Genomic DNA, 18,206 nt, shown 5'->3' on the forward strand with positions numbered 1-18,206 from the left:
TCACTCTGTTGCCCAGGCTGGAGTGTAGTGGCACGATCTCAGTGCACTGCAACCTCTGCCTGCCTGGTTCAAGCAATTCTTCTGCCTCAGCCTCCTGAGTAGCTGGGATTACAGGTACCCACCACCACACTCAGCTAATTTTTGTAGTTTTAGCAGAGACAGAGTTTAACCATGTTGGTCAGGCTGAACTCGAACTCCTGACTTCAGGTGATTCACCTGCCTCGGCCTCCCAAAGTGCTGGGATTACAGGCATGAGCCACTGCGCCTGGCCCTGGCTCTCTTTTTCTTCTGGGATCCCAGTGTTAGATCATTGATATGGATATTGTCCACAGCTTTTGGATGCTCTTCTCAATTGTTATTTTATTGTTTCCATTTTTGCCTCTTTGTGTTTCAATTTGGATAGTTTCCATTGATTGACCTATCTTTAAGTTCACTGTTTCTTTCCTCTGTTACATACAGTCTGCTTAAAAGCCATCAAAGAAATTCTGTATCTTTTTTTTTATTTTTGGCATTTCTATTTGATTCTCTTTTATAATTCTACCTCTGCTGAAATTCTCCATTTGTTCACATACGTTGTCCACCTTTTCCACTAGACCCCTTTCCACCAACTAATCATAATTATTTTAAAGCCCCTGATAGTTCCAGCATCCGTGCTGTCTCTGGGTCTGGTTCTGTGAGTTGTTTTATCTCTTTACAATAGGTTGTTTATTTTCTGGCTTTTTTGTGTGTCTCGTAAATGTGTGTATGAGCGTGTCTTTGTAGTTTTAAAAACTGTGTTCCAAACACTGTGTGTGAATAACAGTAAAGATTGAGGTAACTTGTGTTTATGCCAGGAAGTAGGTATCCCTCTGCATCTGCCAGGCTGTTAGTGTGGGGGGTCGAGTCAATTAAAATCAGTAGCTGTGCTGGGTTTTAGTTTTGTAGTTGTAATAACTTACTTCAGGGCAACACATACTTCAAATTCCTCCAGTGGTGGGTTGCTGCTGTCTTGTATCAGTGTTTCTACTTCCTGCTCAGCTTTCAGGGGGACTTGCATGCCTCCACCACAGAGGGGAGCTCTCTATGTTTTTCTGTTATTGCTCATTACTCAGCACAAGGCTCATACTGGGGGCAGGTGGGGTTCTCCATTTTTCTCATTTACTCTTAGTCTTAGGCAGGCTCCGTGCACCTGGCCCTCATTATTCTTGCTTCTCCCTTTTGTGGCATCTATACCTTGCCTCATGCCTGTGGGGCATCTTAGACAGGGGAGAGCTGCCTGCCTCACTATGGTCCCAACTCCAGTGATATCAGACCTGTGCTTTTTATCAGTGCAGAATCCTGGGACTGAGTGGGTTTCTTGCCACTCACCAGTAGCAGACAAGGAGCAGAAGAGTTTCCAACCCCTCCTCCCATGTCAAATGGCCTTTCCTTTTACCTTCAGCCAGGGAAAGTGATTTTTGCCTGGGCCCTTGATTTCCTGTCCTTCCAGTATCTTAAGGCTTTTTCCTTGTAAAAGAGAAGGGTCTGGGAAGTGGCTGGAGTTTTGTGCCTGTCCTCCAGTGGGAGTGAATTACCCAAGTTTTAAACCTATTGCCATTAAGAAAGGTCATCTTCTTCCCCTATTCTGTTTCAAAAGTACTTGACCGAAGGTCATGGTAAAGAGTTGTGAGTGAGGGCTTCAAGACAGTAACGGAAATTATCCAAAATTAAATAGACAGAGAATAAGGTCTCTACTTTTCAGTGGTACTGGAACAATGGATATGCATTTGCACACAACAAACAAATAAACTTTAATTCATGTATGTCATTATATCTAAAAATTAACTCAAAATGGATCATATACCTAAATGTAATACTTAAAACTATAAAACCTCTAGAAGAAAACATTGGAGAAAATATTTGTAAATTTGAGTTAGGCAAAGACTTTAAAAAATATGACACCAAAAGCACAACCCATGAAAGAAAGAATTAACACACCTGACTTCATCAAAATTAAAAACCTCTGCATTTAAAAAGATACTGTGAAAAGGATGAAAAGAAAAGCCACAGGTTGGAGGAAAGTATCTGCAAAGCAAAGATTTGATAAAGGACTTGTATGCAGAATATATACAACTCTCAAAACTCAATAATAAAACTAAAAACCTAATTTAAAATGGGCAAAAATCTTGAACACACACTTTACCAAAGAAGATAGATAGATGGCAAATAAACACGTGAAAAGATGCTTGGCCGGGCGTGATGGCTCATGCCTGTAATCCTAGCACTTTGGGAGGCCGAGGCAGGTGGATCACGAGGTCAGGAGGTCCAGACCATCCTGGCTAACACAGTGAAACCCCATCTCTACTAAAAATACAAAAAATTAGCGGGGCGTGGTAATGGACGCCTGTAGTCCCAGCTGCTCCGGAGGCTGAGGCAGGAGAATGGCGTGAACCCGGGAGGCGGAGCTTGCAGTGAGCCGAGATTGCACCACTGCACTCCAGCCTCAAAAAAAAAAAAAGAAAAAAAAGAAAAGGAAAGGAAAGATGCTCAACATCATCAGTAGTTAGGTAAATGCAAATTAAAATCACTATTTTATAAATGCAAAGTAAAGTCATTGCAGTGAAATTAAAATCATTGCAGTGAAATACCATTACACATCTATTAGAAAAGAGAAAATTAAAAAGACTGACCCTACCAAGTTTTAGTAAAAATGTGGAAGAAAGTAGAACTCTTATACACAGCTTATGGGAATATGAAATAGTATAACCACTTTGGGAAACAGCTTGACAATTTCTTCAGATGTTAAGCATATCTCTTATGTGACTTTGCCATTGCACTCCCAAGTATTTACCAAGAGAAATGAAAACATATGTCTGTAACAAAGACTTGTACACAAATGTGCATAACAGTTTTATCTGTAATAAATGCCCATTAACAAGTGAGCGGATACACACATTAAAGAATATCTACATAATAGAACACTGCTCAGCAATAAAAACGAATGAACATGGCCAACCACAAAGTAATTATGCTGAATGTAAGAAGCTAAACAATATCGAGTACATATTTCATAATTACATATATCTGAAATTCTAGAAAATACCAGCTAATCTATAGTGATAGAAAACAGATCAGTGTTTGCTCAGGGATGGAGCCTGGGGAGGGAAGGAAGGAGAAATCACAATAGGGAATAGGAAAGCCTCAGGAGAATGATAGATATGTTCATTATCTTGGTTGTGCTGATGGCTCCATGGGTTTATACATATGTCAAAACTTATCAAATTGTATACTTTAAATCTGTGCAGTTTATTGTATGTCAATCATATCTCAATAAACTTTGAAAAAACAAAACTAAGTTAAATTAAAAAGCAATATATAGAGAAACCAACATGCCTTTGCTAGAAATGAATCTGAATTTATTAATCATCTCAATAAATGTAAATGGACTAAACTTTCTAGTTTAAATAGAAATTGTTGGACTGTTTGAAACAAGGAAACAACAGTCTGTTATATTTTGTTGACAAGAGACATATAAAAAACTTAAGGACTCCAAAAAACATACTAAAAAGCCCAAGAACTCCAAAGGGTAAAAGGATGGAAAAATATATACCAATGAAACGCTAACAAAAAGAAATCTTATCTAGCTATAGCACTACAAGAAAAGATAGACATAGCCTAAGTGCACGTAAAAGAGGAATTGAGAAATCTGAATTCACAGCGAGTTCCTTTAGCACTTCAGCATATCTCATCATTGTTAAATCATTAAACTCCTGTAAGGATATTGGGGAATGAACAGCACCAGTAACAAACTTGATTTAAACAGATGCATGAAGAATTTCGTATTCACCAATTAGAAAATACACATTTTTTCTCAAATTCCCTTATAACAAATTATAGCATTCTCCATTTGTCTGTCTGTCTGTCTATCTATCTGTCCCATCCATCCATCCATTCATATATCCATTTATCTATACGGAAAATTTACAAAAATTATCTATGAATGAGGCAAACAAGTCTCAACCACTTTCTTAAGATCAGTATCATACCAACCATATTCTCTGGCCACAACAAAATTAAATTAGAAATCAGTGATAAAAAATAACACAAATCTCCTCACACATTTTTAAATTAACACACACACACACACACACACACCTCTAGTAAGTCATGGATTAAAAAATTATAATGGAAAGTACAAAATTCTTAGAACTGAACTAAGTAAAAATATTATGGTTAAAAAAAGGTGTGGAATCCAGCTAAGGTGGAAATGACAGAGATATGTAGTATTGATATTAACAAGTTAGGAAGACAAAAAATTAATATGCTAATATCCAACCTAAGAACAAGAAAAGGAACCACAGTGTAAATCCAAATAGAGAGTACAGGGAAGGAAACTATGGCATTAAGAGCAGAAATGAATACAATGAAATTAAAATGTACATTAGAGAAAATCAGTCAAGCCCACAGCTGGTTATCTGAACAGATGAATAAGGTGGAAAAGTCTCCAGTAAGACTTATCAAGGAAAAAAAAGGAGGAGGCATGAATAAACAATATTAAAAAAACACAAAAATGTAGAGTTTCTTAAAACACAAGATAAGTATGGACAATTTTATGGGAATAAATTTAACTTTTAGGCAAAATAGACATCTTGGAGAAAATATTAAAAATATTATTCAAGGAGAAATATAAAATCTGAATATACATTTAAATAAATTAAATAATTACCTAATAAAAGTAAGAAGAAACTCTCACCAGATGGCTTAATAGGCTAGTCATTCTCTCTCCTTTCCCCTATAAAATTTCAGGACTAGATATACACTTTTAAAAATATAAACTGTCCTAGAGATGAGAAACAGATGAGATTAGCTCCTTAAATTAACTCATTTAATAAAGTTAGCAAAACCATCCTGAAAACAAGAAAACATAAAATTATAGTTAAACATCACTTACGAACCTGAGTGCAAAAATCTTAAACAAATTATGATATAAAGAAACTAATTAATGTATAAAAGAAATTCTTCATCACCAAGGTTAGCCCAGGATTGTAAAGATGAGTTAACATTAGATTATCTATTCATTCACTACATGAATGGATGAAAGAGAAAATGTATGTATTACCTCAATAGATGCCGTAAAAGCACTTGCTATGATTCAATATCCATTCCTAATAAAAATGATTGGGTACCTATGAGTAGAAAGAAATTCCTTTAACTCAACAGATAGCATCCATCCCTAATCCTAGACAACTTCATACTTAATGGTGAAACATGAGAAAGATTACTGTTATACTGGGAGAAGAGAGAAAGGCAGGTCCTGGCCAAAGGATGGAGATGAGAAAAAGAAATGCAAGTATATTAAAAGAGAATAGGAAGAAACAAAGTTATCGTTTTCACAGATAACACGACTCTGTACACAGACTCTGAGGATAGAAATTATTAGACACTTCAGCATGTTTTCTTAATATAAAAATATACAAATGTACACAAAATACATATATATATTTTGTTTGTTTGTTTGTTTGTTGGAGATAGAGTCTCGCTCTGTCACCCAGGCTGGAGTGCAGTGAGGCAATCTCGGCTCACTGCAAGCTCCGCCTCCCGGGTTCACGCCATTCTCCTGCCTCAGCCTCCGGAGTAGTTGGGACTACAGGCGCCCACCACCACGTCCGGCTATTTTTTTGTATTTTTAGTAGAGACGGGGTTTCACCGTGTTAGCCAGGATAGTCTTGATCTCCTGACCTCGTGATCCACCTGCCTCGCCCTCCCAAAGTGGTGGGATTACAGGCGTGAGCCACCGCCCCCAGCCACTTATATGTATTTTTTAAATTCACTGACAACATTGAGTAGAAAAGATAATTTTTTTTTTTTTGAGACAGAGTCTTACTCTGTTGCCCAGGGGGACTGCAGTGGCACAATCTTGGCTCACTGCAACCTCCACCTCCCGTGATCAAGTGATTCTCCTGCCTCAGCCTCCTGAGTAGCTGGAACTACAGGTTTGCACCACCATGTCTGGCTAGTTTTTGTATTTTTAGTAGAGACGGGGGTTTCACCATGTTGGCCAGACTGGTCTTGAACTCCTGACCTCAAGTGATCTGCCTGCCTCAGCCTCCCAAAGTGCTGCGATTACAGGCATGAGCTACTGCGCCTGGCCAGAAAAGATAATTTTTAAGTTAAAACTCTACCCAAATAGTGTATTACTTAGAGAGCCAAGTGCCGTATCAGACTTCAGTCCTCTGTGTAATACATAGAAGTTTCAAAGTGGGTGTTCCTGGTTGTTGGTGATTCAGAGACTTAGGTTCCTCTCCCTCTCTTGGCTGCCCTCTAACACTTTGAAGTCCTCTGCAACCATATGGCCATGGGAGGGACCAGAGGGCAGGACCCATTTGCTTTTCTGATCACATTCCTCAGGGACCACTAATGCCATGGCCACACTTGGATACCAGGAGGGATGAGGTATTCAGCCTCTGGCTGTGCAGTTGCCTCCAGCAGCAACTTCACATAATCCAAGAGGGGTATAGAGTTGTGGTGGACAGCTATCCATTCTCTTACAAATGGCATAAAAAATTAAAAAAAAAGTTTTTACCTAGAAATAAATCTAGTAGAAGTTGTGCAAGATTTTTATGAAAAAAAAAATGTTATTGTAAGGTACCAAAGAAGACATGATAAGTGGGGAGATACATCATGCTCACAGGTGGAAGAAGTACATATATAACAATGTTAATTATCTCCTAATTAGTCTATGTTTTCAATGCAATCCTAACAAAAATCTAATTGTTTTTTATGGAACCTGAAAGTCAATTGTAGAATCTAATTGGATGAACAAAGGACCAAAAATTTCAAAGGTGTTTGGAAGAGGAATGGGTGAACTCTTCCGACCAGATATAAAGACATATAGTAAATTACAGCAGTGTGGTATTGGCACACGGATAGATCAATAGTCAAATGGAAACTAAACATATTTCAGAAATGTCACTAAAAGTCAATGGCAAATGATGGTAATATTTGGTTATCTCAATGAAAAAATAATAATGTTTATTTACTGAGGCATGAAGAAATAATTTCCAGATGGATTAGAGATTCAAATGGGAAAAGCAGAGCTTAAAAATGTGTCATAAGATAATTTTATATCAAATTGAGCCAGCAAATAATTTATTTTATTTTCCTTTTTGAGACAGGGTCTTGCTCTGTTGCCCAGGCTGGAGTGCAATGGTGCAATCACAAATCACTGCAGCCTTGACCTCCCGAGGCTCAAGCAATCCTCCTACCTCAGCCTCAAGAGTACCTGAGTCCACAAGTGTGTGCCATGGTTGGCTAATTTTTAAAAAATGTTTTGTAGATATGGGGGTCTCCCTATGTTGCCCAGGCTGGTCTCAAACTCCTGAGCTCAGGTGATCCTCCTGCCTCAGTCTCCCAGAGTGCTAGAATTACAGGCATCTGCAGGAAATAATCTTTTAAAAGAGACACAGAGGTTATAAACTTTAGAAAAAGGTTGAGAATTGACTACATTAAAATAAAACATTTCTATTGCTCACAAAACATCAAAATCAAAGCAAAACACAAGCCACATGTTGGGAGACAATATTTACAATCCATAAAACTAAAAAAGAATTCATATGCAGAATATGTAAAGAATGCCTAGAAATAAATAACTCCCTAAATGAACAAAAGATATGAACAGAAGAGGAAGCACATCCTCTTTGTGTCTGGACAAATGCAAATTAAGACCATAATGAGATATTCTTTTCACATGATTAGATTAGTAAAAATTCTGAATGCTGACAATACCAAGTGGAATGAAGACATGGAGTAAAGAGAACTTGAAAATACTGATGGTGGAAGCATAAATTGATACCACATTTTTGGAGAGTAATTTGGCAACAGTTTATAAAGTTGGAGCAGTCTATATTCCCTGACCCAGTAATTCCACCTGTAAGTATATATCTCCAAGAAACTTTACCCATGGGCACAAGGAGACATGAACAAGAATGTTTCTAGCAGTTTTATAGCAAAAAGTTGAAAGCAACCTAAATATTTATCACTTAGGAAAATGAATAAATAAACTGTAATATATTCACTTACAGTAGTGGTGTCTTAAAAACATAATGCTGAGTGAAAGAAACAAGTGACAAAAGGATTTATATAGAATTTAAAATGTGAACGCTGTACCTTTTTTATAGCTGCACCCCCACCCAATCAGGCTACAAATAAGGTTGGCAAACTTTTTTGGTAAACATCTGATAGAAAATATTTCAAGTGCTGCAGACCACATACTGTCTCTGTCATCTCTGTCTCTGTCTCTCCCTGGTGTCCCTGGCTTCATTTGGTTCTGGCCAGTGCTGGTGGTGCTGATGAGGTGGTCTTCTCTGCATAGATGGTGCACAAGGTTTTCTGGGGCTCGTGGTCAGCTCCCCACGGTCCACTCTGTAGCTGAGTCCCACACTCCTCCAGAGGGCAGCTGTGTCTACCTTTAGCCCTGACAGCAAATGAGCACCCACAAATCCCTCCCTGGGTTGGGAGTGCCGTTACTTGCCCCAGTGGCCTATGCGGCACCTGCTCTGTGCTAACCCCAGGATCCCTTTCCATAGAACCCAGGGACCCTTTACATAGACCCCAGGGACCTTCTAGGGTGTTCATCTGGACTCTCTGAGAGCTAGAAGAATGGGTACTGGGTGGGATTGCCCAGTGTTCCTCTCAGAAACACCATCCGTCTCTGTTGTTCTGAGCCCTGCTGGCCAAGGCCACATCAACCAGGCCTTTGCCTTTGGAAATCTCTAGACCAGAGGTAGGCACTGATCTCGGGGTCCAAGTGAACCCCAAAATGTCAAGGGAGCCAGCCATGGGTCCTCTTCTTCCCCACAGTGGGGGAGGCCCTGTGTCAGACACATATTCCCAGAATGCGCCCGAGGCTCTTACCACAGCTCCACAGCTGGCTTTGGGTCTGCGGCTCGCTGAACACCAGCGCAGCCTGGGAACCAGCCACTGGCCTCCCTTGCTGCAGACACCCCAGGAACAAGGGAATCTCAGACCTCACGGGGCCACAGGGGGGTAGCCTCTCACCACAACCCCCGCCCTCCCTAGGAGGCCTTGCCTCTTCTAACTAACACTGCCAGTGGGAAGGCAGGCAGAGCACTTGGCATTTGCTGGGAGACAGATCTCTCCCTGGGTCTGTAGGTGGGAGCTGGCACCACTGCAGGTGGATTTCTGAACTCAGGATTGCTGGGTCTTCAGTGCTTTTCACTGTCAGCTTTGGCCACTGGCTGCAATTCTGAGACACAAGGAAAAATCCCACTTGGCTTCCTGTTCCAACATCCAGTCCATCATCAGCTCATTCTTGTGTGCCTGACTTGAACTTCCTGAGCCGTTCTCTTCAGTGAGGACAGTAGGGTCAGCGGACTGCAGTGCGAAGGTCACCCCAGGCTTCAAATCCTCCCCCTGCCATCTACTTAAATGATAGATGATACTCCTCCCCTCACAGCTCAGTGTGCAGATGAAATGAATTAATATCTGAAAAAGATTCAAACAATGCCCAGTGCACAGTACATGATTTCTAAGTGTTTGCTCTTCTTATCATTATATTGAATAAGAACTCAGAGGAGCCTCAGTTCCTTGCCTGTTAAATGAGATTCTCGTGCTCACAGGAGGAATTTGGGGAAGAACAGAGATGGCCTATAATCAACATGAGACACAGTGCCTGGTACATAGTGAGCACTCAGTAAAGTCAGTTCCCTTCCATTGCCCTCCACCACTTTCACATCAGAGGCCACGCCTTACAGAGACAGCGGGTGCCTTGGATGAGCAGGAGCCACCATCCTCGGAAGGAACTGTGCTAGGCAGGCCAGAGCAAGGGGTAGAGGAAAAGGAGTAGGAACCATCTGTGCTTGCCTGGAACCGACAGGAGACAGAGCATCCTTGCTCCTGAGTGCCTTCATTCTAAAGGAGACAAATCCTGGGCTAGGAGGCACAGGGCTGGGGTTCTGGCCCCAGCATGGCCTGTGAAGCATTGGGCAAGACGGATTAGCAGTCTGAAACTGGGGTTCTCTCAGGCAATGAGAGGGTTGGGCTTGGTGATGTCCACCTTGGCCTGGTTCTGGCCAGTGACTTCCTGCCGAACCCCATTCAGCACCATTCTCCCACTCTTCCTCCTCTTCACGTCTCTCATCCTCCTTTCACCCTCATGATTGCTTTTTTGCTCACGGCCACCGGGTTTTGTTATTCTCTGGCACAGCCCAGCATATTCATTTCTCCTGGTGCGCTTCTCAGCTCTGCCTGGCGAATGGTGATGATGAGACATCTCCATGGAAACAGATGTTGATCCCACAGTTGCTTAGCGATGTGGGCAGGATGATGTCAGCCATGTTCTGATTTCCGGAAGGGCTTGGCATGCTTTGATGTGTCTGTACTACTAGGGCTGGGATGAGTAGGATGTTTCTTTCCTTGTGTCTCCCTTTTTTACGTAAAAGTAAAAGGCAAAAAGAACTGGAAATTTATTTTTGGGGGGACGAATGCCATTGTAAGGAGAGCAAAGTTTTGGGAGGCAGAGAATTGGGTTTGAGGCAGAGATAAGATAAGGAAGATGATGTGCTCCTCTAGAGGCCCAAGGGCTGGGGGCACCTGGGAAACTGCTTCCAGCGGGGGCAACTGCTGGCCAAAGCTGAGTACTCGGTGCCTCCCACTGCCTTAAGACCTGCCGTGGCAACAGTCACCTTGGGACAAATGCTGCTCCCACCAGAGCACCCCCAACATTTGTGAGACCTAGAGCAACAGTGCAAATGGAGGCCACATACCATCTCTCTAAATACTTAAAATTATAAACCAAGTCAGGATATTGTCAAATAAAATATATGCTATCCTCTGACCTTAGCAGTTGTGATGTGGAATAGTGCCTGGGCCCCACAAAGATGTCCACATCTTAATCCCTGAAACTTGTAAATATGTTTGATTCAGGTTGTGGATGATATTGAGATTGTGGCTGACTTTAAGATTGGGAGATTATATCCTGGCTTGGGTGGGTGAGTCCAGCATAATCACAAGGGTCTGTAAAAGTGGAAGATGGAGACAGAAGAGCAGGTCAGAGGGATGTGATGTGAGAGGAACTAACCAGCTATTGTTGGCTTTGGAGATGGAGGAAGGGACCACAAGGAAGAGGATACAGAAAGGGGCAAAAAACCAAAATCTACCTGAGAAGCTCCAGGAGGGAACGTAGCCCTGCTGATGCCCAGTGAGACTGCTGACCAAGGGACTCTAAGGTGTAAATGTGTGTTGCTTTAAGCCGCTAAGGTTGTGGGAACTTGTTCTAGTGGCAACAGGAGCGTGATCCATGTGGGAGGGCCATGGCACTGCTGCTCGGGGGCATGGCCCAGGAGGGAGGTTTTCTTGCCTGCATCTAGGTTCTACCACCAGGGAAAAAACGAAGTGATTTCTTTACCCTTTCCCTCCTTCCCTAACCCCTTTGTGTTAGTCTGTTGTGTACTGCTATAAAGGAATACCTGAGGCTGGTAATTTATAAAGAGGCTCTGCAGCCTGTACAGGAAGCATGGCATCAGCATCTGCTCCTGGGGAGGCCTCAGGAAGCTTCTACTCCTGGCAGAAGGTGAAGGGGGAGCAGGTACGTCACATGGTGAGAGGGAAGCATACGTCACATGGTGAGAGGGAAGCAAAAGAGAGGGAGCAGGAGAGAGGCCAGGCTCTTTCAAACAACCAGCTCTTGTGTGAACTAATAGAGCGGGAACTCATTCATTACCATGGGGAGGGCACCAAGCCATTCATGCAGGATCCTCCCCCATAACCCAAACACCTCCTGCTAGACCCACCTCCGACACTGTAGGTCACATTCCAGCATGAGATTTGGAGGGGACAAATATCCAAACCATATCACCCTTCAAAACAAAATATAACAAAACAGAGACAGCTCAAAGAATCTAACCAAGCCAAACTCCTCATTATATAGCCAAACCCAACTCTCCTATTAGCAGGAGAAAGGAAGGCAGCTTTTTTGTGTTACAAGAGATGTTGGGGCCATGAGGTCTTATGGGACTCTGAATTGCCCCTGCTTATCTGACCCTACCATCAGCCAGCAATGTGACCCAGGGCAGTCACAGAATGATGTGCTTCAGGATCTTCACCTGTGAGATAAAATTCATGAATGACACAAGGGCCAGGTTACTGTCTCTTTCTTCCCTTGGCTGTCTTCTAGTTTAGTAAACTGTGTTGCTTAATTCTGAGGGATGTATTTAGTCAGGAATTGCAAAGGAATCAGTGGTCAATGTTTTCTCTTTTTTCTTTTTTTTTTTTTTTTTGAGACAGAGTCTTGCTCTGTCACCCAGGCTGGAGTGCAGTGGTGCGATCTCGGCTCACTGCAACCTCTGCCTCCTGGGTTTAAGCAATTCTTCTGCCTCAGCCTCCCAAGCAGCTGGGACTACAGGTGTGTACCACCACGCCAGGATAATTTTTGTATTTTTAGTAGAGACGGGGTTTCACCATATTGGCCAGGCTAGTCTCAAACTCCTGACCTCATGATCTACCTGCCTTGGCCTCCCAAAGTGCTGGGATTACAGGCGTGAGCCCCCGCACCCGGCCAATGTTTTCTTCTCTCTAGTCAGTCAACCCACTCCTGCAGGATCCTTCAGGTCTGGGACATACCCTACCTCCTCCAGGTAGCCCACCATGACCACTGCTGCCCATGCTCGGCACATTCTGGCCGTAGCACCTTTGCCTTCACTTTCTTCTCCGTGTATAGCAACGCATTTTGCATATTTAGTTTAAACTTGTCCGTTTGAATCACCATTGGTCAGTTGATGATCAGTGGCTCTATTCAGGGCCTAGGACAGCTGGTTACATAATCAAGTCAAAGCCTGAACTACCTTGTAACTCTTAGGGTTCCCTGCTCCGCTGAGTGCAATGGTTTGTCTGGCTTGACACTTTTACAGCTTCCAAGACCCCTTCTCTGACAGCCTGTGAGCGCCTGTGTGTAGGCTGATCCTTGCAGCAGTCTCGGGGTACACCCTATGCCCAGGTGGGGAGAATTAACCTGTAAGAGCTACTTTTCACTTTTAGTTATTTAACTTAATATGTGCCATGAGGCTTTCAAGAAGTCTTGGTTGGGACTTCTTTATATCAAGGAGTTAAAAAGGAATTATTTGAGTTCAAGAGAAAGGAAAGATTAATAACATGGAAAACATCACCATCATGAGAAGCCTGTACTGGCAGTGTGTGCAGGTCTCAGTGAGCATGGATGTCTAGTGAGTGTTGTAAATATGCAGCACCCAGTGAAATGCAAGGTGCAATCTCACAGCAGACCGTGCTAAGACATCATTATTCCTGCACTATAAAGGCAGACTAGAAATCTGACCACTAAATATTTTAATAATAAAAGGGTAATGCTTATTACTCAATTAAATAAAATTTCCTACTTATTGTTATATTCCAAAGGATATCTATGATAGCAACATTTGGCTCCAGCTCAATGCTTATCTTAAAACTTGGCCATTTTGCATTTATCAGGATGTGTTTTTAGTGTACCTCTAAAAGGGTCCCATTGAGGCTTTTGTATTTCTTTCCCTGATAGGTATTTCATCCTTGTTAAAAATAGAGCCTCACATAAAAGCTGAAAACATGTTCCATCTCTGTATTAGTCCATTCTTACACTGCTATGAAGAAATACCCTAGACTGTGTAATTTATAAAGGAAAGAAGTTTAATTGACTCACAGTTCAGCATGACTGAGGAGGCCTCAGGAAACTTACAATCATGACAGAAGGGGCAGCAGACACCTTCTTCATGAGGCAGCGGGAGAGAGTGTGAGTGAGAATGAGGAAGTGCCACACTTTAAAAGCATCAGCTCTCATGAGAGCTCACTCACTACCATGAGAACAGCATGGGAGAAACCACCCCTCATGATCCAATCACCTCCCTCCCTTGATGTGTGAGGATTACAGGTCCCTCCCTGGACACATGGGGATTACAAACTGAGATGAGATTTGGGTGGGGACACAGAGCCAACCCATATTAGTCGCTAACTGCTTCTTTATGCTGATTCTCAACCTCCCCCTGAAACATTGTTGATCCAGGTCACTGAGATCTCAGGTTGAGGCGAGTCGCGAAGTCCTACATTTCCTCTGGGGAAACAGTGTGAGTGAGCGCCCATCCCATGGGTGTGAACCAGCCCAAATGAGGTGCTAGTAAACCAGGTGGAGTTGCCCCTTCCAGAACCATCTCCCGGTCTTCTCTGGCCTCCACTGTCCCCAAGCAAAGGGGAAGAACCACAGCTTTGTCCTGGTTAAAAGGACTCTGCAGTCACTGCTGGGTCTCTATTTAATCACAGTCCGTTACCACCCAGAATGGTTCCTGAGCCCTCCGCTCCACTCCACATACTGAGCAGAGTTTTGAAGTGTGATTAAATGGTTCATGCGGTGGCCAAAAGGAAGTAAAGGAGCAAATGGCAGGAATAACCCACGAGGATGGCAATCTGCTGACTGAGGGTCAAACATCCCACAACATTATGGTGAACGTGCAATCTCTATTTTTCAAGTCAGTCTGGATTTCAGATGTTCAGTGCCACTTGCCTGATACATTCATGGTATTCTTGTGAGCCGACCATGCCTCCATCTGGGAATCAGAACAGGTAGTGACAGCCTGTAGAACCACCCAGCTGAATGACAGGACAGGTCCCGGAGCTGCTGGAATTGTTGCTGAAGCATCTCCCCCACCGCAGATGATAATGCCATTGATGAAGTTCACTCCACTTTGGGAACCCCCTGAAGGAACTCGTGCCATTCATATTTGGTCATGTGCGTATTCAATGTCTTCCATCTGCTCACACTGTAGAGAGCAGTTTGCTGTATTTTTCTGCCCAATGGGCTGCTTTGGTTATAGATTATAAATAATTTATTTCCAGAATCTCAAGACTTTCCTTTTTCTTTAGGATTACATTTTGTATTTTTCATGTGGTTTGCCCTTCTGGGAGAATGTTCTCGGGTCTGAGTAACTTATTTTGGTTCCTCGAAACTGCTTTGGTTTGCACAGATGGTCTTCCTTTCAACCACTTTCCGTATTTTAATGATCTCTTATTCTTATGGAATTATTCCAAGTGACGTATTTGGTTTCAAGTTTTAGGCTGAAACACAGTTTTTTACTGCTAATTCCTGTCCATATGCGGTGTTTCATCTTTTGGGCTGACTGGGTGAAATCTGCAATTAGCTGTGGTCACTGGGGCACTGTTTCCCAAAGTAGGGTTTGTGCAACACCTGCATTCATAGTCAGCATGCTTCTCAAAAATGTAAATTTCTTGGACTAGTTGCAAACCCCCTGGTTTATAATTTTGGTGAGGGGCTGGGGAGTGGGGAGGGGGAAGGGAGGAGGCCCTGGAATCTGCATTTCTCACAAGTGTAGCAGGTGATGCATGTACACCATAGAATCTGAGAACCACAACCTAAGAGAAGGAGTGTAGTCTGCTGTGCTCCCAGACTATGTTTCTCCACACATTGCAACTCACAGGACCACGCTGTGAGAAGGACTCTGGCATTGGGTCTTTTCACCTGATCTTGTGGCCAGGTGTGGCTTGCTGCAACCGTCATTCCATGCAGAATCTTGCCATTCTGAAGGTGAACTGCACTATTATAGTTGGACTCCATGGAAATCAACCTGGCCACAGTGCCCAGGATGCGTCTGAGTGGGCAGAAAGGGGCACTTGGGAGGTCAGCATTCCCCAAATTTTCCACATAGAGGCAATATAAAAATGATGACATTTGCATTGGGAGTGCAATGTGCATTGGGAGTACCAAAGGAGGCTTCCTGGGGCTGCAAGATGCTAGTCCAGAGGCCCCAGCTTCCCCAAGCCTGATCTGGTTGTGTCCAGGGCCAAGGAGATAAAACCCTAGCATACCTGTATCCCATTTGTTGGAAGCCCTGTGTTAGATGTCTGTTGCTATAGTCCAGAACAGAAATAGAAGATGGCCTGTAGGAATAGTAGGGAGGGGATGAAGCAACAGATACTGAGGGTGGGGATTTTAGGACTTAACTAATCAGATGTGGGGAAACCAGAAGGGAAGGTATCAGAGGGCATTGGGGTCTGAGCCCAGCTGGGAGGTGGGGCCACTAACAGCAATAATGAGAGCCTGCCCTTGTTGCAGTGGAAGCTTTTATCTACTCTCACCTCTCTCTTCCGTGTCCTGGCCAAAGCCATATCCTTTCCCTGGTCATCTGTCCTGGGGGCTACTCCCAAAGGCCTGAGGCTGTAGAAGTGGGAAGACTGTGGCCCCCCAGGTGTCCAGGCAGATGACTGCTTTCGCTTCTCACAACCTGTGCTCCTACTAACAAGGGCTAGGGAGTATTTTCCCTATTTTATTTCTTAGTCGAGTAAGGCACATGCAAGCTATGTACCTCATTCCATGCATGACTTACTTGCCATGGGCTGGGGAGGGAGTTTATTGCCGGCCTTTTAAGTCCTAACTCAATGTTTTGTGTGTTTTTGCAGTCACCACCAAACAGCCACTTCAGCATATTGACAGAGAGCTTGTTTGCTCTTCATAGTAACCTCTGGCTGTGCTGTAGGCAGGTCAGGCTTCTAAATGGCAGTTTACTGAGGAGGACTCCTGGGCTGAGATTGTGTGGCGGCACCCAAGTCTTCCAGCCAGCAGGTGGCAGAACAGGGATCTCTGAATCCCTAATGCTGGAAAGTCTGGGGCTCCATTCTGATCCAGCAAATCACCATGTTTAGCCCACAGTGCAGCCCCCTCCTTAACCTTCTGCCCCAAACCCATTTGCCAGTTCTTGATGGCAACAATAGGAAAAGTAGGCTTCCAGGCAGGACTGATCCAAGAGACAGCTCTGATTTAAACCCAGGAGTGGGTTAGGTTTTGTAGCACCTGCAGCTCATACAATTTTGAAGTGCCTCTTTAAGAAAAAAAAAAAAAAAAAAGCAAACGTATGCTACTTTTGCAAACTTTACAGAAAACACAGGACCGTGCAGGTAAGGGGTCTTGACGCTTATGCTTTGTTAGCTTCTGGGTAAATCTGCTTCCACTTAAACACACTAAGGACAATTGAGGGCAGGCAGAGGCTTGGGTCACTGTTCCCTCTTGCTCACATTTTGCCTGGCACAGGTGCAAAATTACGGTACCATCGCATTTGAAAACAGCAGTTACCCCAAGCAGTTATCCCTCAAGGCCCTTTATAAATGTCAAGCTAATTATTAGATGATTAGATAATAGCTACAGTGTGTGCCGTCTGGGTGAGCTGTGGCTGCTGCTACCAAAACACCCTGAGAATGCCAAGTGACATGTTTGGAAAGGATTGGAAGGACTAAGAGTTCCAGGCCTGGACGGTGAAAACAAGCCTGGAGGTGGTCTCCAATGGGGAGATGCCTTAGAGGGAAAGGATGAGGAGGGCAGAGGCTGTGGCAGGTGCAAACATCTTCCCCAGAGAAAGGGCTCAGGTAGCAACAGCCACTTACTGAGCATTTGCTGGGTCAGGCTAAGCTCTTTACATGCATTTTTTCGTTTAACTCAAAACAACCTTTAAATGTGGGAAATTGTATTATTCCTAATTACCAGGTGAAAGTGGAGGCTGGACGGCACACACCACTAGTAAGCGGTGGAAAAGTATTTGAACTTAGAGCTTTCTAAGCCCATGTTTTTAACTCCTGAGCTGCTGGTGAGAGCCCTCTGGGCTAGGAACCCCTCTCTCTCCTGGTCTTTTTCTTTTTTCGAGATGGAGTTTTTGCTCTTTTCGCCCAGGCTGGAGTACAGTGGTGCAATCTCGGTTTATTGCAACCTCCGCCTCCCTGGTTCAAGTGATTGTCCTGCCTCAGCCTCCTGAGTAGCTGGGACTACAGGCGCCCACCACCACGCCTGGCTAACTTTTGTATTTTTAGTAGAGATGGGGTTTCACCCTGTTGGGCAGGATGGTCTTGATCTCCTGACCTTGTGATCTGCCTGCCTTGGCCTCCCAAAGTGCTGGGATTATAGGCATGAGCCACTGCGCCCAGCCTTCTCCTGGTCTTTTTCAGGAATGCATGGGAGGACTCATTCTGGGATCATAAATGACATCCCCCAAATTCTACCCCAGATCTGCCTACAGTCAAGCTTGAGGCCTTGTGGGCCTAGAACCAGGGCATCCTGGACTTCCGATGGGCAGGGCTGTATAGGAAGTTATGCCACCAACGAGGTGGTCCTGGACAGGGGCTGCATTAGGTCCATGATTTGCAAATGTGCTCTGTGGAAACTGAGGAAGTCCATGGAGCTTTTTTGGAAG

The sequence above is a fragment of the Homo sapiens genome, chromosome 2 (genome assembly GCF_000001405.40).
Source record: "Homo sapiens chromosome 2, GRCh38.p14 Primary Assembly".
Classification (NCBI taxonomy): domain Eukaryota; kingdom Metazoa; phylum Chordata; class Mammalia; order Primates; family Hominidae; genus Homo; species Homo sapiens.